Source organism: Homo sapiens, chromosome 19, assembly GCF_000001405.40.
Source record: "Homo sapiens chromosome 19, GRCh38.p14 Primary Assembly".
NCBI lineage: Eukaryota > Metazoa > Chordata > Mammalia > Primates > Hominidae > Homo > Homo sapiens.
In genome coordinates, this window is record NC_000019.10 from 10,200,731 (window position 1) to 10,221,392 (window position 20,662).

The window sequence follows — 20,662 nt, forward strand, 5'->3', positions numbered from 1 at the left end:
ATATTTTTGTAGAGACAGGGTGTCCCATGTTGCCCAGCCTGGGAATTATTTAATTTAATCCTTAACCATAAAAGGTAGGTAGCAGGACCCTGTTTGCCATGGCCTGAAATATTCATCACATAGGACTCTCAGAGGCCACTTACCCAAGATCATAGACTCACTCAGCAGTACGGACCATGAATCCAGCTGTCTTTCATCCAGAACCTGAGGGCAAAACAGTGGCCCCAGGGATGGCCAGTTGTCCAGGCCATGGGAGACCAAAGGGATAGCACTTGAAGGAAGCTGGACTAGGGTAGGAACAGAAAGGGAATGACAGAAGACAGTCTCACCAGAGTGAACCTTAGGCCCATAAACCTGTCAGAACCCATGATCAGGGCCCCTAACCCACCTTAGAGCCAGGGGAGGAAATAAGAAGAGGGGACAGATGAACAGACCTCCTACTCAGGGACTTCAACGCAAGGAGACCAGCTGCATTTATTGGAGACTTCCTCTAAGCTAGATTTCCTTTGTAACAGCATTGTCAACCTTGTCAGGAAGAGATAGCTTGACCCATCTTCCAGATATGGGGAAAAAACTCAGATATGGAAACGATTTGCCTTAAGGGTACCCTGCAAGTTGGAATTTGCTTCCAAGTTGTCTGGGCAAAAAATCCAGGCATCTCCTTTCATGCCTCTCCTTGCCTCACATGCAAAACATGAGCAAGCTCTGCTGGTTCTTCCTCTAAAATATAAGCCAAGTCTTTCTACTTATCCACGCTCCTGCTACCCCAGCCCAAACTGCCATCATCACTCACCTGGACTTCATTCTAGAAGCCTCCTCCCTGACCTCCCAGCTGCCCTGGAGAGTCCCTTCCAAACGCTTCGGCTAGAAAGCTTTATTTTATTTATTTATTTATTTATTTATTTATTTAGAGACAGAGTCTTACTCTGTCACCCAGGCTGGAGTGCAGTGGCACAATCTCAGCCCACTGCAACCTCTGCCTCCCGGATTCAAGCAGTTCACCTGCCTCAGCCTCCCAAGTAGCTGGAATTACAGGCACTTGCCACCATGCCCGGCTAATTTTTGTATTTTTAGTAAATACAAGGCTTCACCATGTTAGCCAGGCCAACTCCTGACCTGTGATACACCCACCTCGGCCTCTCAAAGTGCTGGGATCACAGGTGTAAGCCACCGCACCAGGCCTTTTTTTTTTTTTTTTTTTTTTTTTTTGAGATAGAGTCTCACTCTGATGCCCAGGCTGGAGTGCAATGGTGTGATCTTGGCTCACTGCTACCTCCATCTCCCAGGTTCAAGCAATTCTCTTGCCTTAGCCTTCCAAGTAGCTGGGACTACAGGAACGAGCCACCATGTCCAGCTAATTTTTTGTATTTTTAGTAGAGATGGGGTTTCACCATGTTGGCCAGGCTGGTCTCAAACACCTGACCTCAAGTGATCCACTCGCCTCAGCCTCCCAAAGTACTGGGATTATAGGTGTGAGCTACGTGTCCGGCCTTTTTTTAAACAACAACAACAGCAACCCAGCTAGGGTCTCACTGTCACCACAGGCTGGAGTACAGTGACATGATCATAGCTCACTACAGCCTCAAACTCCTGGGCTCAAGCAATCCTCCTACCTTAGCCTCCCAAAGCACTGGGATTACAGGCACGAGCCACTGCACCTGGCCCTGAGAAATGTTTACAAAAATAAATTGGAACATGCCATCCCCTTCTTCACCACTAAAACCTTCCAGAACTTCCCATTGTTCTTGAAATAAAATCTAAGCATTTTACTATTTTTACAGGGTCCTGTTTGGGTGAGTCTTATTCCTCCCTTCACTGAGCACCAGTTTTGGGGTGTTTTTTTTTTTTTTTTTGAGACGGAGTTTCACTCTTGTTCCCCAAGCTGGAATGCAGTGGTGTCATCTCAGCTCACTGCAGCCTCTGCCTCCTGGGTTCCAGTGATTCTCCTGCCTCAGCCTCCCGAGTAGCTGGGATTATAGGCACGCACCACCACGCCCGGTTAATTTTTGTATTTTTAGTGGAGACAGAGTTTCACCATGTTGGCCAGGCTAGTCTCGAACTCCTGACCTCAAGTGATCTGCCCACCTCAGCCTCCCAAAGTACTAGGATTACAGGCATGAGCCACTGCACCCGGCCTAGCTTTATTTACATTTTGTGTTTTTGAGACAGAGTCTCACTCTGTCGCCCAGGCTGGAGTGTCGTGGTGCAATCACAGCTCACTGCAGCCTCCAACTCCTGGGCTCAAGCAATCACCCTGCCTCAGCCTCCCAAGTAGCTGGGACTACAGGTACACATCACCACGTCTGACTAGTTTTGTTTTGTTTTGGTAGAGACAGGGTCTTGCTATGTTGCCCAGGCTGGTCTTGAACTCCTGGGCTCAAGCGATTCTCCTGCCTCAGCCTCCCAAAGTACTGGGATTACAAGTATGAGCCACTGCCCCTGGCCTCTCAAGTTCTTAAGTGCCCCAAAGCCTTTGTTTTTGCTGCCACTTCTGCCCAAATCAACCTTCTGGAAGATTCACACAGCTCAACGTTGCCTCAAAACAGAGGCTTCCCCAGACCACTGGGAAGCAACCCTTTACCCACCTAGTCATGCTTTACTATTACTGTTTTTTCGTAGCATTTACCACTGTCAAAGATTCTTTTTTTTTTTTTTTTTCTTTCTTAGAGTCTTGCTCTGTCACCCAGGCTGGAGTGCAGTGGTGCAATCTCAACTCACTGCAACCTCTATCTTCCAGGTTCAGGCAATTATCCTGCCTCAGCTTCCTGAGTGGCTGGGATTCCAGGCACCCACCACCTGGCTAATTTTTTGTATTTTTTTAGTAGAGACGGGGGTTTCACCATGTTGGCCAGGCTGGTCTCGAACTCCTGAACTCAGGTGATCTGCCTGCCTCCGCCTCCCAAAGTGCTAGGATTACAGGTGTAAGCCACTGCACCCAGCCTGAGATTTTCTTATTTACTATCTATCGTAATCTGTCTGTCCCACAAGAACAAAGCAGGGATTGGCACACATTTTCTCTAAAGAACCAGATAAATATTTCGGGTTTCATGAGCCACACATTCTATGCCCCAACTACTCAAACCTGCCATCATCAAAGTGCAGAAATAGCCATCACCAATATGTAAATGAGTAGGTATGACTGTGTTCCAGTAAAACTTTATTTATAAAAACAGATGGCCAGCCAGATTTGGCCTTCAGGCCTTAGTGTGCTGACTCCTCCACAGACTACAAGCTTCAGAGGAATGCAAATATAGGTTGAATTAACATATAGGACATGAGGCCAGGCATGGTGGCTCACACCTGTAATCCCAGCACTTTGCGAGGCCAAGTCAGGTAGATCACCTGAGGTCAGGAGTTCGAGACCAGCCTGGCTAACATTGTGAAACTCCATCTCTACTAAAAACACAAAAATTAGGCCAGACACGATGGTTCACACCTGTAATCCCAGCACTTTGGGAGGCCAAGGCAGGCAGATCACCTGAGGTCAGGAGTCGAGACCAGCCTGGCCAACATGGTGAAACCCTGTCTCTACTAAAAATACAAAAATTAGCTGGGCATGGTGGCGTGCACCTGTAGTCCCGGCTACCCAGAAGGCTGAGGCAGGAGAATTGCTTGAACCCAGGAGGCGGAGGTTGCAGTGAGCCAAGATCGTGCCATTGCACTCAAGCCTGGGCAACAGAACAAGACTCTGTCTCAAAAAAAACCCTCAAAAATTAGCCGTGTGTGGTGTCATGCACCTGTAGTTCCAGCTACTCAGGAGGCTGAGACAGGAGAATTGCTTGAACCCGGGAGGCGGAGGTTGCAGTGAGCCAAGATCACAACACTGCACTCCAACCTGGGCGACAGAGCGAGACCCTGTCTCAAAATAAATAAAAGTAAAGTTGTTTTTCCCCCAACAACAGTGTCATTTCCATTTCACAAACAGAAACCCAAACCAGATCAGGTTACAAACCTAGTTTTGTCTCCAGTTCCTGGGTCATTTGCTTTGTTCACTTGACCACTAGAAATCTCAAACAAAGGGCCAGGCACAGTGACTCACACCTGTAATCCCAGCACTTTGGGAGGCCGAGGCAGGTGGATCGCTTGAGGTCAAGAATTTGAGACCAGCCTGGCCAAAATGGTTAAACCTCATCTATGCTAAAAATATGAAAATTAGCTGGGTGCAGTGGCTCACACCTATAATCCCAGCTACTTGGGAGGCTGAGGCAGGAGAATCGCTTGAACCCGGGAGTTTGAGGTTGTAGTGAGCTGAGATTGTGCCACTGCACTCCAGCCTGGGCAACAGAGTGAGACTCCATCAAGAAAGAGAGAGAGAGAAAGACACACAGAGAGAGAGAAAGCAAGAGAAAGAGAGAGAGAGACAGAGAGAGAGAAAGAGAGAGAGAGAAAGAGAGAGAGAGAAAGAGAGAGAAAGAGAGAAAGAGAAAAAGAGAGAGAAAGAGAGAAAGAGACAGAGAGAGAAAGAGAGAAAGAGAAAAAGAGAGAGAAAGAAAGAGAGAGAGAAAGAGAGAAAAAGAGGAAGAGAGAGAAAGAGAGGAAGAGAGAGAGAGAAAGAGAGAGAGAAAGGAAAGAGAAAAGAAAAGAAAGGAGAAGGCCTGGCGCGGTGGCTCACGCCTGTAATCCCAGCACTTTGGGAGGCCAAGGCGGGCGGATCACGAGGTCAGGAGATCGAGACTATCCTGGCTAACACAGTGAAACCCCGTCTCTACTAAAAATACAAAAAAAATAGCTGGGCGTGGTGGTGAGCACCTGTAATCCCAGCTACTCGGGAGGCTGAGGCGGGAGAATGGCGTGAACCCGGGAGGCGGAGCTTGCAGTGAGCCGAGATTGCACCATTGCACTCCAGCCTGGGTGAAAGTGTGAGACTCTGTCTCAAAAAAAAAAAAAATGAAAGGAGAAAAGAAAGACCAAACAAAGGTCGAGTACAGTGGCTCATGCCTTACCTGAGAGAAGGAAGTGGAGCCTCTAAAAGAAAACAGGTACAGATTTCATGGGCATTCACTCTGCCTCCACCTCTCAGCCTCCAAAGTCACATTTCCTAATATGCCACAAGACAGACTTGCCAGGCCAGGCATGGTGGTTCATGCCTGTGATCCCAGCGCTTTGGGAAGCTGGGGCAGGATTGCTTAAGGACAGGAATTTGAGGCTGCAGTGAGCTATAATCATGCTACTGCACTCTAGCCTGGGCAACAGAGTAAGTCCACATCTCTAAAAAACAAAAAATAAATTTAGGCCGGGCACGGTGGCTCATGCCTGTAATCCCAGCACACTGGGAGGCCAAGGCAAGTGAATCACTTGAGGTCAGGTGTCCGAGACTGGCCACCATGGCGAAACCTCATCTCTACTAAAAATACAAAAATTAGCTGGGCATGGTAGCAGGCGCCTGTAATTCCAGCTACTCGGGAGGCTGAGGCACAAGAATCACTTGAACCTGGGAGGTGGAGGTTGCAGTGAGCCAAGATCATGCCACTGCACTCCACCCTGGGTGACAGAACAAGACTCTGTCCCCACCAAAAAGAAAAAATGTAAATGAAAAGGAAAGATCTGCCAGGCCATAGCTCCTTGCTTCCCAGGCCACATTCCAGGGAGGCCAGGAGAGGCCCAGAGACCAGTCTAACCGAGGTCCAGGCAGCCCAGAGCACGAAGGCTGGTGGAGAGCTGGCCACGTGTCCTGAGCTACGGTCAGTCAGAAGGCTGAAGGTGAGTCATCCCAGACACCGTGCTCAGTGCCAGGCCCATCAGAGGCCCTGGGCAGGAACAGCAGCACTCAGTAACAATGGGGACACTTTACCACCCTTACCCTGGAAGGGCCTCAGAAGCACTCTCTCCAGGCTCGACTTGCCTAAGCTAGGAATCAGATCTGCAGAAACCCAAGTCCCATAGCGTGTGCTGGGTAGAGCCGCCTACTCCTCGTGGGGCCTTTGAGCAGGCAGACAGCTCTCTGTTGGGGATCACAAGAGGCTTGCTGCCAAGCCCTGTGGGTTTTTCCTTCAAAGAGCCCTTGAGTCAGCTGATCTGCCCCTCCTGGGCCCCTGGCCCAGGTCACCCTCACCTTTCTGCTGGATGCCTGCCCAGCCTCATTCCTGGGCTGCTACTTGGCCCCCTCACCATCCATTCACCACGGAAGAAGTTCATCAGAACCCAAATCTGATCATGTTAGCTCCTCCCTACCTCACCGAATCCCCTGAATGGCTTCTCAGGGCTCTTAGGGTAAACCCAACCCTACCTTCTCCGCTGCAGCCCACAAGGCCTCAGTGCCCAGCCCTGTCTTGTCCTTTCAGCTCCTGCTGCCCACCTATTAACCCACTCCACTTGAGCCACATCATGGACAGTTCCAGCCTCTTTCTGCCTAAGACATGTGGTGGCCAGCCTCCAAGAAGGCCCTCAATGTCTCTTGCCTCTTGGTATTCATGCCCTGCCAAGCCTTCTTCCATAGTCAGGGCCAGTTTATGTGGCCAAGAGAAGGTGAGTGACTTCCAAGGCTAGATCATAAAAGGCATTGCAGCACCACCTTGTGTTCCCCAGGAAACCAGCCGCCATATTGTAAGGATGCTCAAACAGCCCTGCAGGGAGGCCCATAGGAAGAGAAACCAATTTATCAGCCAGGTGAGTGAGCCATATTGGAAGTAGCTGCACTCCAGCCCCCATCAGACCTGCAGATGGGTGGAACCACAGATGATATGTGACTGTAACCTCATGAGAGACGCCTAACAGAGCTGCTCCCAAATTCCCAGCCCACAGAAACCACAGGATATAATGCATGGGTGTTGTTCTGAGCCACTGGGGTTTGAGGCTTGTTGTTAATGCAGCCATAGATATGTATTGCAAGGCTTCTGCATGTGCTGTTTCCTTAGCTTGGAAAGTCCTATTCTACACGCCCAGTTCTCCTGCTTGGATAATCTACAATTATTCTCCCTATTGTGGCTCAACCATGACCTCCTTCAAGGAGCCTTTCCTGACCTCCCCTAGCCCTTTCAGGTCTTTGTTCCATGGTCTTTTAGAAGTCAGGCCCTTTCTTTCAGAGCCTTTACCCCAGCTGTTGATCATATATTTTGAGATTTACATCAGCCATACCCCCACCGATGCCCAGTGTGTAGCAAAGCACCCAGGATGTAGTTAGCACCCAATAAAGTGTTATGGAGCCCTACACAGATGAGAGAGGGTACGAAGCCTGTTCTTCCCACATTAAATGCTCAGTTTACAAATATCCATCAAAATTACCAACAGGCTGGGCAGTGGCTCACACCTGTAATCCCAGCAATCTGGGAGGCCGAGGCAGGTGGATTTGCTTGAGTATAGGAATTCAAGGCCAGCCTGAGCAACATGACAAGACTCATCTCTGCAAAAAAAAATACAAAAATTAGGCTGGGTGGATCGCCTGAGGTCAGGAGTTCAAGACCAGCCTGACCAACATGGTGAAACCCCTTCTCTACTAAAAATACAAAATCAGCCAGGCATGGTGGCACATGCCTGTAATCCCAGCTACTTGGGAGGCTGAGGTAAGAGAATCGCTTGAACCTGGGAGGCAGAGGTTGCAGTGAGCTGAGATCACGCCATTGCACTCCAGCCTGGGCAACAAAAGCAAAACTCCCTCTCAAAAAAAAAAATTAGCTGGACATGATGGCAGGCACCTGTAGTCCCAGCTACTCTGGAGGCTGAGGTGGAAGGATCACCTGAGCCCAAAGAGGTTGAGGCTGCAATGAGCCATGATCACACCACTGTGCTCCCACCTGGGTGACAGAGTAAGACCCTGTCTCAAAAAAAAAAAGACAACTCAGACACATCACATATCTAAATACGAAAGCAAAGTCAGGAAAGCTTTTGAAATAAAACACAGAACATCTATGTGACTTGTGGACAAGCAAGTGTTTCTTCGGCAGGACACAAAGCACATTAATAAAAGAAAATATGCTGGACTCTATGAAAATGAGTTTTTGGGTTTTTTTTTTTTTTTTTGAGACAGGGTCTGTCTCCCAGGTTGGAGTGTAGTGGTGCAATCACAGCTTACTGCAATGTTGGACTCCTGGGCTCAAGTGATCCTCTCACCTCAGCCTCCAGAGTAGCTAGTAGCTGGGGCTATAGGTATGCACCACCACACCTGGCTAATTTTTTTTTTTTTTTGGTCGACACAGGGTCTTACTATGTTGCCCAGGCAGGTCTTGACCTCCTGGCCTCAAGTGACCCTTCCACCTTGGCCTTCCAAAGTGCTGGGATAACAAGTGTGAGCCACCATGCCCAGCTGAAAATGAGTTTTGGTTCATCAAAAGATGCCATTAAAAAGGAAGCCACAGACAGCCGGGCACGGTGGCTCACGCCTGTAATCACAGCACTTTGGGAGGTCGAGGCGGGTGGATCATGATGTCAAGAGCTTGAGACCATCCTGGCCAACATGGTGAAACCCTGCCTCTACTAAAAATACAAAAGTTAGCCAGGCGCAGTAGTGGGCACCAGTAATCCCAGATACTTGGGAGGCTGAGGCAGAATTGCTTAACCCAGGAGGCGGAGGTTGCAGTGAGCCGAGATCGCGCCACTGCACTCCAGCCTGGGTGAGAGAGCAAGACTCCATCTCAAACAAAAAAATAAAAGCCACAGACATACGTCTGACAAAAGACTCATACCTATAATACATATAGAACTCCTTCAACTTAATGACAATCACTTTTTTACCAAGTGGCTAAAAGAGCTAAATAGGCACTTCACAAAAGAGGATGCCCAGATGGCCAAGGCTAACGTGGGAAGCTGCTCAACTTCATTAGTCATCAGGGAAATGCAAACTCAATCTGCAATACAATATCACCCTCACACGCACACACACAAATGAAAAAAAAATTTTTTTCAAGTATTGGCAAAACCAGAACTCTTCTATGCTGCTGGAGGAAGTCTCAAATGGTATAGCCGCTTTGGAAAATGATTTGGCAACATTTGCTAAAGCCAAGTCTACTGCTGCCCAGGACCCACCAATCCCATGCCTGGAATGAGTGTATATATCTACCAATTGACATGAACAAGGAATGTTCATAATAGTTTACTCACAATAGCCAAAAGCTGAAGACTACATGAACAATAATAGAACAGATAAATAGTTACTTATTCACATGGAATATTATACACAAGGGTCATAAACTTTCTTTTTTAGAGGCAGGGTCTTGCTGTGTCACCCAGGCTGGTGTGTAGTGATGTGATCATAGCTCACTGCAGCCTCAACCTCCCAGGCTCAAGCAATCCCCCTGCCTCAGGCTCCCAAGTAGTAGCTGAGACTACAGGCATGCACCACCACACCCAGCTAATTTTTTTCTTTTTTTGTAATCCCAAAGAGTTGAGATTACAGACATGAGCCACTGCGCCCAGCAAAAAATAAAAAAAATCAAAATTTAAGTTAGCTGGGCATGGTGGCACAAGCCTGTGGTCTCAGCTACTCGGGAAGCTGAGGTGGGAGGATCGCTTGAGCCCTGGAGATAAAGGCTGCAGTGAGCTATGATTATGCCACTGTACTCCAGCCTGGGCAACAGAGCAAGACCCTATCTTAGAAAAAACAGACAAACAAAAAAAGTGAATTTCAAAAACCTTATGCTGTATGAAAGAAACCAGTCATAGGAGGGTACATACTGTGTAATTCTGATTATAGAAATTACCAAGGCACTTATCTTCATTTTTCTCACCCACTTCAAACTTAGGCTTCCTTTTTTCCTTCCAGGCCACTTACACCCTGCCTTCCTCCCTCAACTCTTCCCAGCCTCCTTCTGCCTGCCAGGGTCCATGACATGGCCATTGTCCATGAAAGCCACAAGCCCTAGAGAAAAAATGCCAGTTACAGGCCAGAGACTTGCCCACCTCCTGGAGAATGACGTGAAAATACACAGCGTCTGCTCCTGAACTGCAAAGAAAGTTTCCCTGTCTACACTGCGGTGAGCAGGAATAAAAGCTAGGCCTGCCCTGGCCTTAAATTAAGCCAGAGGGATGTCACGTGAGGAGACTCCTTCCTGGAAAAGACCACCAATTAACCACAGCTGATTCTCCAAAAGCAATCTGCAAGTTGGGGATCATTAGTTGGTGCAAAGGTAATTGCGATCTTTGCTATTAAAAGTAATGAGCTGAGTGCAGTGGCTCACGCCTGTAATCTCAGCACTTTGGGAGGCCAAGGCGGGTGGATCACGAGGCAGGTAGATCACTTGAAGCCAGGAGTTTGAGACCAGCCTGGCTACATGATGAAACCCCGTCTCTACTAAAGATACAAAAATTAGCTGGACGTGGTGGTGGGCACCTGTAATCGCAGCTCCTGGGGAGGCTGAGGCAGGAGAATCACTTGAACCTGGGAGGCGGAGGTTGCAGTGAGCCAAGATCGTGCCACTGCACTCCAGCCTGGGAGACAGAGTGAGACTCCATCTCAAAAAAAATAAAGTAACATACTCATTTTATAGATGAGGCCAGCTGACAGTTGTCATGTGCCATCCCCAAAAGCTACTTGGGTTGTTGAGTGTGGGATGTGAGATTCAAATCTGCTTTTCCTAACTTGATAGTATGCACTTTTAACAGTTATGCCACCACAATTGCCGACAACAATGAATCACATCCGACCCACTTCATTTCCCTTTTTTTGGACAGATTTGTCTATTCTTGGATAAGACATTCAAGGAAGGGTGGTGGTATTGCTTTCTTTGAATTTCTTATCCGAGAATAGTTAAATCTGTCCAAAAAAAGGGGGAAGGTGGTGGTATTGGGTGTCTGAATTTTGGGCAAGTATGTCAGCTTTGTAGACAAATGGGAAAAAATGGCTAGATATGAGGATGGAGAGACGGTTTAGAAACCGTTTGTAGGTTTTTTGTTTGTTTGTTTGTTTGTTTGTTTTTAGAGAGGCAGTCTCACTCTACTGCCCAGGCTGGAGTGCAGTGGTGCCATCATAGCTCACTGCATCCTCCAACTCCTGGGTTCAAGTGATCCTCCTGCTTTGCCCTCCTGAATAGCTGGGACTATAGGTTCCTGCTACCATGCCCAACTAATTTTTAAGATTTTTTGTAGAGCTGGGGGTGTCTCACTGTGTTGCCCAGGCTAGTCTCGAATTCCTGGCCTCAAGCAATCTTCCCGCCTGAGCCTCCTAGAGCACTGGAATTACAGACATGGGCCACACCACGCCCATCCAGAAACCCTTTGAAGACTGCTAATGAAACAACAGTTCCAGGCAATGGTTATCCATGGATGATCAAACCTTTAGGGAAACGCCAAGTGGGGAATTTACAAAGGCATGGTCAGGCGGATGGCATCCGAATCCCTGGATCATTCTTAGTTATCAGTGAAAAGTGGAAAGAAAGGCCAGGCACAGTGGCTCATGACTGTAATCCTAGCACTTTGGGAGGCTGAGGCAGAAGGATCACTTGAGCCCAGGAGTTCCAGACTAGCCTGGGCAACATAGTGAGACCTTGGTTCTACAGAAAGGTTTTTCGGTTTTTGTTTTGTTTTGCTTTTGAGATGGGGGGTCTCACTCTGTCACCCAGGCTGGAGCGCAGGTGGGCAGTCTCTGCTCACTGCAGCCTCTGCCTCCTGGGCTCAAGCAATCCTCCCTGCTCAGCCTCCTGAGTAGCTGGGACTACAGGTGCATGCCACCATGCCCAGCTTTTTTTTTTTTTTTTTTGTTTTGGTAGACACAGAGTTTCACCATGTTGCCCAGGATGGCCTCCAACCTCTGTGCTCAAGCTATTTTCCCACCTCAGCCACCCAAAGTGCTGGGATTACAGGAGTCAGCCACCACACCCTGCCCAAAAAAGGTATTGTAGCATTTTTTTAAGTGTTGCTACCTTTTAGAGATAAAAAAATGGAGTATTTACAAATGAAATTATTTGAGGCCTCAGATTTGCTTCAAAATATCCAGTGAGGCTGGCTGGGTGTGGTGGCTGACACCTGTAATCCCATAATTTGGGGAGGCCAAGGTGGGTGGATTGCTTGAGCCCAAGAGTTGGAGACCAGCCTAGGCAACACAGCGAAACCCTTCTTTACAAAAATTAGCCAGACATGGTGGCTTGCACCTGTAGCCCCAGCTACTTGAGAGGCTGAGGCAGGAGGATCGCTTGGGCCTGGGAGGTCAAGGCTGTAGTGAGTTGTGATCACACCATTGCACTCCAGCCTGGGCAACAGAGTGAGACACTGTCTCAAAAAAAAAAATCCTTTGAATAATAATTGATTCAGGCAAGAATGAATGCTGAAAGAGTGAAAGTCTGATGAATAATAGGATATTTATAGAGTCTCCACATACCTCCCCACAAGAAACTTAATAATTACAAACCGGAAAGCAGTAACTTTATAGCAGAGACACGCTGGGGTCTTCCTGCCAAAAAGGCACAACCTGAATCTAATCATAAGGAAACAGCAGACAAACCCAAGTTGAAAGACATTCTGCCTAATAACTAACCTACATTTTGTTAAAACGTCAAGGTCGCAAAACACAAAAAGGCTCAGAAATTGATCTCCGTGAAAGAAACTAAAAAGACAACTGGAAACAACAACTGATCTGGGATTTTCTTTTGCTATAAAGGTCAGTGATGTGACAATGGGTGAAATCTAATTAGGTTTGCAGATTTTCTGCTTTTGATCATTTTACTGAGGTTATGTTAGAGAACGCCTTGTTCTGGCCAGGTGCGGTGGCTCACGCCTGTAATTCTAGCACTTTGGGAGGCTGAGGCAGGCGGATCACCTGAGGTCAGGAGTTTGAGACCAGTCTAGCCAACATGGTGAAACCCTGTCTCTACTAGAAATACAAAAATTAGCCGGGCGTGGTGGCATGCGCCTATAATCCCAGCTACTTGGGAGGCTGAGGCAGGAGAATCACTTGAACCTGGGAGGTGGAGGCTGCAGTGAGCCAAGGCTGCACCATTGCACTCCAGCCTGGGCAACAAGAGCAAAACGCTGTCTCAAAAAAAAAAAAAAAAAATTGTTGAGATGGGCCGGGCACGGTGGCTCATGCCTGTAATCCCAGCACTTTGGGAGGCCGAGACGGGCGGATCACAAGTTCAGGAGTTTGAGACCAGTCTGGCCAACATAGTGAAACCCTGTCTCTACAAAAAAATACAAAAAAAAAAAAATTAGCCAGGCATGGTGGGCACCTGTAATCCCAGCTACTCGGGAGGCTGAGGCAGGAGAATCACTTGAACCTGGGAGGCAGAGGTTGCAGTGAGCCGAGAGCCGCCATTGCACTCCAGCCCAGGCGACAGTGTGAGACTCTGTCTCAAAAAAAAAAAAAAAAAAGAAAGAAAAGAAAAATTGTTGAGATAGTAATCAAAAGAGCTCAGTTACTCAGAGGCTGCAGAAACTAGAAATATGAAATCTAGAATTGCACTGCCCAATATTGTAGCTAATGATTTGTTAATTAAAATTCAATAATATGTAAAATTCAGCCCCTGCCTGCCTCACATTAGTCGTATTTGTAATGCTCATGACAGTGCTGCTCTGAATTATGGAGCCGAGAATGCTTCTTAGAATATGGTGCAAGGGCCAGGCACAGTGGCTCACACCTGTAATCCCAGCACTTTCGGAAGCCGAGATGGGAGGATCACTTGAGCCCAGGAGTTTGAGGCCAGCTTAGGGAACATGGCAAAAGCCCATCTCTACAAATAAAAAATTTAAAAAGTAGCCAGGCTTGGTGGCAAGCGCCTACAGTCCCAGCTTCTCGGGAGGCTGAGGCAAGAGAATCACTTGAGCCTGGGAGGTTGAGGCTGCGGTGAGCCGAATTGGCACCACTGCACTCCAGCCTGGGTGACAGAGTGAGACCCTGTCTCCAAAACAACAACAAAACAGAATATAGTGCAAAGACTATATATATATATATATATATATATATATTTTTTTTTTTTTTTTGAGACAGAGTTTCGCTCTTGTTGCCCAGGCTGGAGTGCAATGGTGCAGCCTTGACTCACCGCAACCTCTGCCTCCAGGGTTCAAGCGATTCTCCTGCCTCAGCCTCCCAAGTAGCTGGGATTACAGGCATGCGCCACCATGCCCGGCTAATTCTGTATTTTTAGTAGAGACAGGGTTTCTCCATGTTGATCAAGCTGGTCTCAAACTCCTGACCTCAGATGGTCCACCCGCCTCAGCTTCCCAAAGTGCTGGGATTACAGGCGTGAGCCACTGTTCCCCGGCCAAGGACTACATATTTTTAAATTATTAGGGGTTCCTGGTAAGAAACACACATTTCTAGGTTCATTCCAGACCTGTTTAGTCAGAATCTCTGACCATAGAGCTTGAGAATTTGCATTTAAGCAGGTTCTTCCAGGTCATTCCTTTGTTGGTCCCTATTAGGCAACAGCCTCCCTAGGGGAAAAAGGAGGTGAAAGTCATCTTGTGTTTCCTGCTGGAAGGACCACTTTAATTTGGGCTCCAAGATTTGAGAGCTATCAACAAATGGGATCTTCAGATCCAGATATTGAGGAGGATCAGATATGATTGTGGGCCCGGCGCAGTGGCTCATGCCTGTAATCCCAGCACTTTGGGAGGCCAAGGTGGGTGGATCATGAGGTCAGGAGTTCAAGACCAGCCTGGCTAACATGGTGAAACCCTGTCTCTACTAAAAATACAAAAAAATTAGCCAGGCATGGTGGCGGGCACCTGTCATCCCAGCTACTTGAGAGGCTGAGGCAAGGAGAATCTCTTGAACCTGGGAGGCGGAGGTTGCAGTGAGCCGAGATCGCACCATTGCACTACAGCCTGGGCGACAGTGCAAGACTCCATCTCAAAAAAATTAGCTGGGTATGATGGTGCACGCCTGTAATCCCAGCTACTTGGAAGGCTGAGGCGGGAGAAGCGCTTGAACCTGGGAGGCAGAGGTTGCAGTGAGCCAAGACTGCGCCATTGCACTCCAGCCTGGGTGACAAGAGAGAAACTCTGTCTCAAAAAAAAAAAAATTAGCTAGGCGTGGTGGTGCGTGCCTGTAATCACCGCTACTAGAGAAGCTGAGGCGGAAGAAACTCTCGAACCTGGGAGGTGGAGGTTGCAGTGAGCCGAGACTGTGCCACTGCACTCCAGCCTGGGCGATAGAGTGAGACTCTATCTCCAAAAATAAATAAATAAATAATCATTTTTTTGAGACGGGGTTTCGCTCTTCTTGCCCAGGCTGGAGTGCAATGGTGCGATCTCCGGCTTACCACAACCTCTGCCTCCTGGGTTCAGGCAATTCTCCTGCCTCAGCCTCCCGAGTAGCTGGGATTACAGGCATGTGCCACCACACCCGGCTAATTTTGTATTTTTAGTAAAGACAGGATTTCTCTATGTTGGTCAGGATGGTCTTGAACTCCCAACCTCAGGTGATCCGCCCGCCTCGGCCTCCCAAAGTGCTGGGATTACAGACGTGAGCCACCGCGCCCAGCTGAAAAACATTTTAAAAAGATATAAGTGTGGTCTTCAGTGACTCACTGGGTTCCAATCCTGGCCCCTTGACTCCCATGCTACTTGACCTTGGGTGAATTACTTAACCTCTCTGTGCCTCGGTTTCTTTATCTGTCAAAAAGCCAATAATAGCACCTACTCTATAGGATTATTGTGAGGATTCCAGAAGTTTGCAGATGTCAAATGATTCTCACAGTGCCCAGCACACGAGCACACATTAGACTTTTTATTTTTTGAGACAGGGTCTCACTCTGTTGCCCAGGCTGGAATGCAGTGGCATGACCACAGTTCATTGCAGCCTCGGTCACCTAGGCTCAAAGAATCCTCCCACCTCAGCCTCCAGAGTGGCCAGGACTATAGACACGTTCCACCACACCAGGGTATATATGTATTTATTTACTTACTTTTACAGATGAGGTCTCACTATGTTGCCCAGGCTCATCTCAAACTCCTGGCCCCAAGTGATCCTCCCGCATTGGTCTCCCAAAGGGCTGGGATTACAGGCATGAGCCACCATGCCTGGCCCTATTTTCTTTTCTTTCCTTTTTTTTTTTTTTTTTGAGACAGAGTCTTGCTCCATCACCCAGGCTGGAGTGCGGTGGCGCGATCTCGGCTCACTGCAAGCTCCGCCTCCCAGGTTCACGCCATTCTCCTGCCTCAGCCTCCCAAGTAGCTGGGATTACAGGTGCCCACCACCACGCCTGCTTAATTTTGTATTTTTAGTAGAGATGGGGTTTCACCATGCTGGCCAGGCTGGTTTCAAACTCCTGACCTCAGGTGATCCACTCGCCTCGGCATTCCAAAGTGCTGGGATTACAGGAGTGAGCTCCCACACCTGGCACTATTTTCTTTTCTTTTTTTTATTTGTTTCTGTTTTGTTTTGTTTGTTTTGGTGGTCTAAAATAAATTTTTTAATTGCACATTTGTGTCTTGGGTTATCTGTGGGGTGAGAAACCTATTCCTCACTTCCAATCCCAGCTATCCAGGTACAATCTGGTGTTGTGGTCTGGCTGTGGGCAAGGGGTACAGGTGGGTGCAGAGCTGGCCCTCGAGTCTGCACCAACGTCTTCAAGGCAGGGAGCTCAGACCATGGTTGTACTTGCACTGCTTTGGGGCCTCATTGAAGCCCTCACACAGGGACAGGTCATTCTCAGTGGTCGAACAGTCCAGGAACTGCCTGATCTTGTAGGTGCAGAGCCCCATCTGTAGGGGCTGGGAGGCAGCACCGGTGGGGGTCTGACTGGCCAGTCGGCCACACTGTGGCTTCCCCAAGGCCTGGTGGCTGTGGTGAGACCTTATTATATTAGATATTAGATATTATTATATTAGATATTAGAGACGGCAATGGCGGCAGCAGTTCTGTCGCAGGGACAAATGCCGCCCCCCCTTTTTTTTTTTTTTGAGATGCAGTTTCGCTCCTGTTGCCCAGGCTGGAGTGCAAAGGCGCGATCTTGGCTCACTGCAACCTCTGCCTCCCGGGTTCAAGCAATTCTCCAGCCTCAGCCTCCCCGGTAGCTATGATTACAGGCGCTCGCCACCACGCCCAGCTAATTTTTTTTTTTGAGACAGAGTCTCACTCTGTTGCCCAGGCTGGAGTGCAGTGGCGCAATCTCGGCTCACTGCAACCTCCATCCCCCGGGTTCAAGAATTCTCCTGCCTCAGCCTCCCTAGTAGCTGCGACTACAGGTGCGTGCCACCACGCCCAGCTAGCTTTTGTATTTTTAGTAGAGACAGGGTTTCACCATGTTGGCCAGGCTGGTCTTGAACTCCTGACTTCATGATCCACCCGTCTTGGCCTCCCAAAGTGCTGGGATTGCAGGCATGATCCCAGGTGTAATCCCAAAATTAGGCACATGGCCTAATTTTGTATTTTTAGTAGAGATAGGGTTTCACCATGCTGGCCAGGCTGGTTTCAAACTCTTGACCTTGGCTGGGCACAGTGGCTCACGCCTGTAATCCCAGCACTTTGGGAGGCCTAGGCAAGCAGATCACTTGAGGCCAGGAGTTCGACACCAGCCTGACCAACATGATGAAACCCCCGTCTCTACTATAAATACAAAAATTAGCCAGGCTTGGTGGCACATGCCTGTAATGCCAGCTACTCGGGAGGCTGAGGCAGGAGAATCACTTGAACTCAGGAGGTGGAGGTTGTAGTGAGTCGAGATCACATCATTGCACTCCAGCCTGGGCATCAGAATAAGACTCCGTCTCAAAAACAAAACAAAACAAAACAAAAAAACTCCTGACCTCAGGTGATCTGCCCACCTCGGCCTCCCAAAGTGGTGGGATTACAGGCATGAGCCACCGTGCCCGGCCCTATTTTATTTTCTTCCTAGCACTTAACACTCACTGAAATGACCATCATTTGCTTTTGTTTTATTTATTCAACAAGTATTTACTGAGGACCTACTGTGTGTAGGCATTCCAGGCAGAGGGAACAGCAGGTGCAAAGGCCCTGGGGTGGGAACATGCCAAGTAGTGTTTAAGATGTTAGAGATAGCCAGGCATGGTGGCTCATGCCTGTAATCCCAGCACTTTGGGAGGCTGAGGTGGGAGGAGCACTGAGCCCAGGAGTTTGAGAGCAGCCTGGGCAACATGGTGAAACCCTGTCTCTACAAACAATACAAAAAAGCAGGCCAGTGTGTTGGCACATACCTGTAGTTCCACCTACTTGGGAGATTGAGGTGGGAGGATGGCTTGAGCCCAGGAGGTCAAGGCTGCGGTGAGCTGTGATTACGTCACTGCACTCCAGCCTGGGTGACAGAGTCAGACCCTGTATCAAAAAAAAAAAAAAAGTTAGAGAGCCATAAATAGCCAGGCAAGTTGGCTCACACCTGTAATCTCAGCACTTTGGGAGGTTGAGGCAGGCAGATCTCTTAAGCCTAGGAGTTCAAGACCAGCCTGGGCAACATGGAAGAATCATGTCTCTACAAAAAAAGAAAATTAGCAGGCTTATAATCCCAGTTACTAGGAAGCCTGAGGTGGAAGTATCACCTGAGCCCATGAGCCCAGGAGGTTGAGGCTGTAGTGAGCTGTGATTGCACCACTGCACTTGAGCCTGGGTAACAGAGTAAGACCTTGTCTCAAAAAAAAACAAAAAAACAACACTGGAGATACATTAGTAAATAAGGCAGGTGCAGTCCTATATTCACAGTGCTTGTATTTTAATGGGGGTAGAGACAGATAAATTGATACATATTAGGTTGGTGCTAAAATCATTGCGGTTTTTGCCATTAAAAGTCATTGTAGGCTGGGCACGGTAGCTCACGCCTGTAATCCCAGCACTTTGGGGGGCCGAGGTGGGTGGATCACAAGGTCAGGAGATTGAGACCATCCTGGCTAACACGGTGAAACCCTGTCTCTACTAAAAAAAAAAAATACAAAAAATTAGCCTGGTATGGTGGCGGGCACTAGTAGTCCCAGCTACTCAGGAGGCTGAGGCAGGAGAATGGCGTGAACCCAGGAGGCGGAGTTTGCAGTGAGCCGAGATCGGGCCATACACTCTAGCCTGGGTGACAGAGCGAGACTCCATCTCAAAAAAAAAAAAAAGTCATTGCGGTTTTTGCCATTAAAAGAAATAGCAAAAGTCATTGCAATTTTTGCTATTAAAGGTAATGGCAAAAACCGCAATGACTTTTGCACCAACTTAATAATATATACTGCCAGGTAATAAGCAAGTGACTCCTTTCTGAGGAGGTGGCATTTGAGCAGAGTCCTGAAGGGGGAGATAGAGAACCCTGTGGGTACTTGGGGAAAATCTATTGACTCCAGCCTGGCCTGTGCCTTTTTCCCCCACCCCACCCCCCATCCCATCTAGGGTTCAGGTTTCCAAACAGAGGTTGTTGTCTCAACTGCTAGAGAAGGGGAATTCCGATGGGGGTTGCAGGCCCTCAGCCTCTGCGGTCTGCCTTCTCTCCCACTGGCTGTCCTAGTCTTTGAGCTGGTGTTGCTGTGTGGGGCTCCAGCTTGGGTGCCTAGGGTCCCCCATCAAAGGGTTCATGCCTGAAATCCCAGCACTTTGGGAGGCCAAGGTGGAGGCAGGAGGATCGCTTGAGCCCAGGAGTTCGAGACCAGCCTGGGCAACATAGGGAGACCCCCCATCTCTACAAAAAAAAAAAAAAAAAAAATTAGCCAGGCATGGTGGTGCATGTCTGTGGTCCCAGCTACTTGGGAGGCTGAAGTGAACCATGATGGCACCAACTGCACTACAGCCTAGGCAACAGAGCAAGACCCTGTCTTAAAAAACAAACAAACAAAAAAACTCTAGACTTTTCTTCAAAGGAGCCACTGAGCCGGCTGCCTGCAGACAAAAGAGAAGAGTATCACCAGGGAACCCACCGAGGGACCCACCCGAGGCTGCATCCTATCTTGGCTTCTCCTGGTTCTTGATGAACTTCGTGGCTCCTCCTTCCATGGCAAAGAGGGAGCTAAGTGGCCTCTCTCTGTCTTTTTTTTTGCTCTGCTCTGTCGCGCAGGCTGGAGTGCAGTGCCGTGATCTTGGCTCACTGCATTCTCCACCTCCCGGATTCAAGCAATTCTCTTGCCTCAGCTTCCTGAGTAGCTGGGACTACAGGCACCCGCCACCACACCCAGCTAATTTTTGTATTTTTTGCAGAGACGGGGTTTCCCTATGTTGGCAGGCTGGTCTCGAACTCCTGATCTCAAGTGACCCACCCACCTCAGCCTCCCAAAGTGCTGGAATTATAGGAGTGAGCCACTGCACTCAGCTGAGTGGCCTTTCTCTAGCCCAGTGGTGGATCCAGTATGGTCTGGAGTCAGCCTGCTTGGGTTCAAATCCAGACAGGCGCTACCCCGACTAGCGCTGTGTGACTCTGAGCAGTTTGCTTGATCTCTCTGAACTCACACCTCCATAAGAGTTTATAGTAACTTCCACCTCCTGAGCAGTCAAGTCTTTATGCCTGGAAAGTGCTCGGTGAAGATCAGCCATTACTTTTGGGAACACCGTGTCTAAGGGTGGGTATCTGGGTTCTTTGTAGCCCCCTCAAACCATCTCTCCAGCTCCCCGGGAGGCACATACAATTGGGAGGATGTAGGAGCCTCCCACCACCTGCCAGGCTGTCTCCTTCAGAGAAAGCAGGGAGATCCCAGACCGAGTTAATCCCTGGGAGGTGCAGGTGAGTTGCCCCTGGGAAAGATCCCGGTTGACCTCTGTTTTCTCCTGGCTCAGGCCGGGTTAAGGGTGTCAGGAGCACAGAATGGGAAGGTTGGCAAAGGATGAGTTACTCAGGCAGCAGCCCCCCTCCTGTTCCATCCAGCCCAGCCATGGGGCGCTCCT

At 48.7% G+C, this 20,662-nt stretch overlaps 1 pseudogene, besides 6 other annotated features; it reads right to left on the reverse strand.

Annotated features, from left to right (window-relative positions):
• Positions 16,259–16,619, reverse strand: LOC103689916 (coiled-coil-helix-coiled-coil-helix domain containing 10 pseudogene; annotated as a pseudogene).
• Positions 18,836–19,336: an enhancer, noted in NCBI's record as "H3K27ac hESC enhancer chr19:10330242-10330742 (GRCh37/hg19 assembly coordinates)". NCBI's record gives its function as "activates a minimal SCP1, AML or CMV promoter by ChIP-STARR-seq in naive H9 embryonic stem cells {active_cell/tissue: H9 hESC(naive)}" and the evidence as "EXISTENCE:reporter gene assay evidence [ECO:0000049][PMID:30033119]".
• Positions 18,836–19,386: a biological region, named in NCBI's record as "H3K27ac hESC enhancer GRCh37_chr19:10330242-10330742".
• Positions 18,977–19,026: an enhancer, noted in NCBI's record as "active region_13941". NCBI's record gives its function as "activates an Ori minimal core promoter by ATAC-STARR-seq in GM12878 lymphoblastoid cells {active_cell/tissue: GM12878}" and the evidence as "EXISTENCE:reporter gene assay evidence [ECO:0000049][PMID:35858748]".
• Positions 19,157–19,386: an enhancer, noted in NCBI's record as "active region_13942". NCBI's record gives its function as "activates an Ori minimal core promoter by ATAC-STARR-seq in GM12878 lymphoblastoid cells {active_cell/tissue: GM12878}" and the evidence as "EXISTENCE:reporter gene assay evidence [ECO:0000049][PMID:35858748]".
• Positions 19,337–19,837: an enhancer, noted in NCBI's record as "H3K27ac hESC enhancer chr19:10330743-10331243 (GRCh37/hg19 assembly coordinates)". NCBI's record gives its function as "activates a minimal SCP1, AML or CMV promoter by ChIP-STARR-seq in naive H9 embryonic stem cells {active_cell/tissue: H9 hESC(naive)}" and the evidence as "EXISTENCE:reporter gene assay evidence [ECO:0000049][PMID:30033119]".
• Positions 19,607–19,686: an enhancer, noted in NCBI's record as "active region_13943". NCBI's record gives its function as "activates an Ori minimal core promoter by ATAC-STARR-seq in GM12878 lymphoblastoid cells {active_cell/tissue: GM12878}" and the evidence as "EXISTENCE:reporter gene assay evidence [ECO:0000049][PMID:35858748]".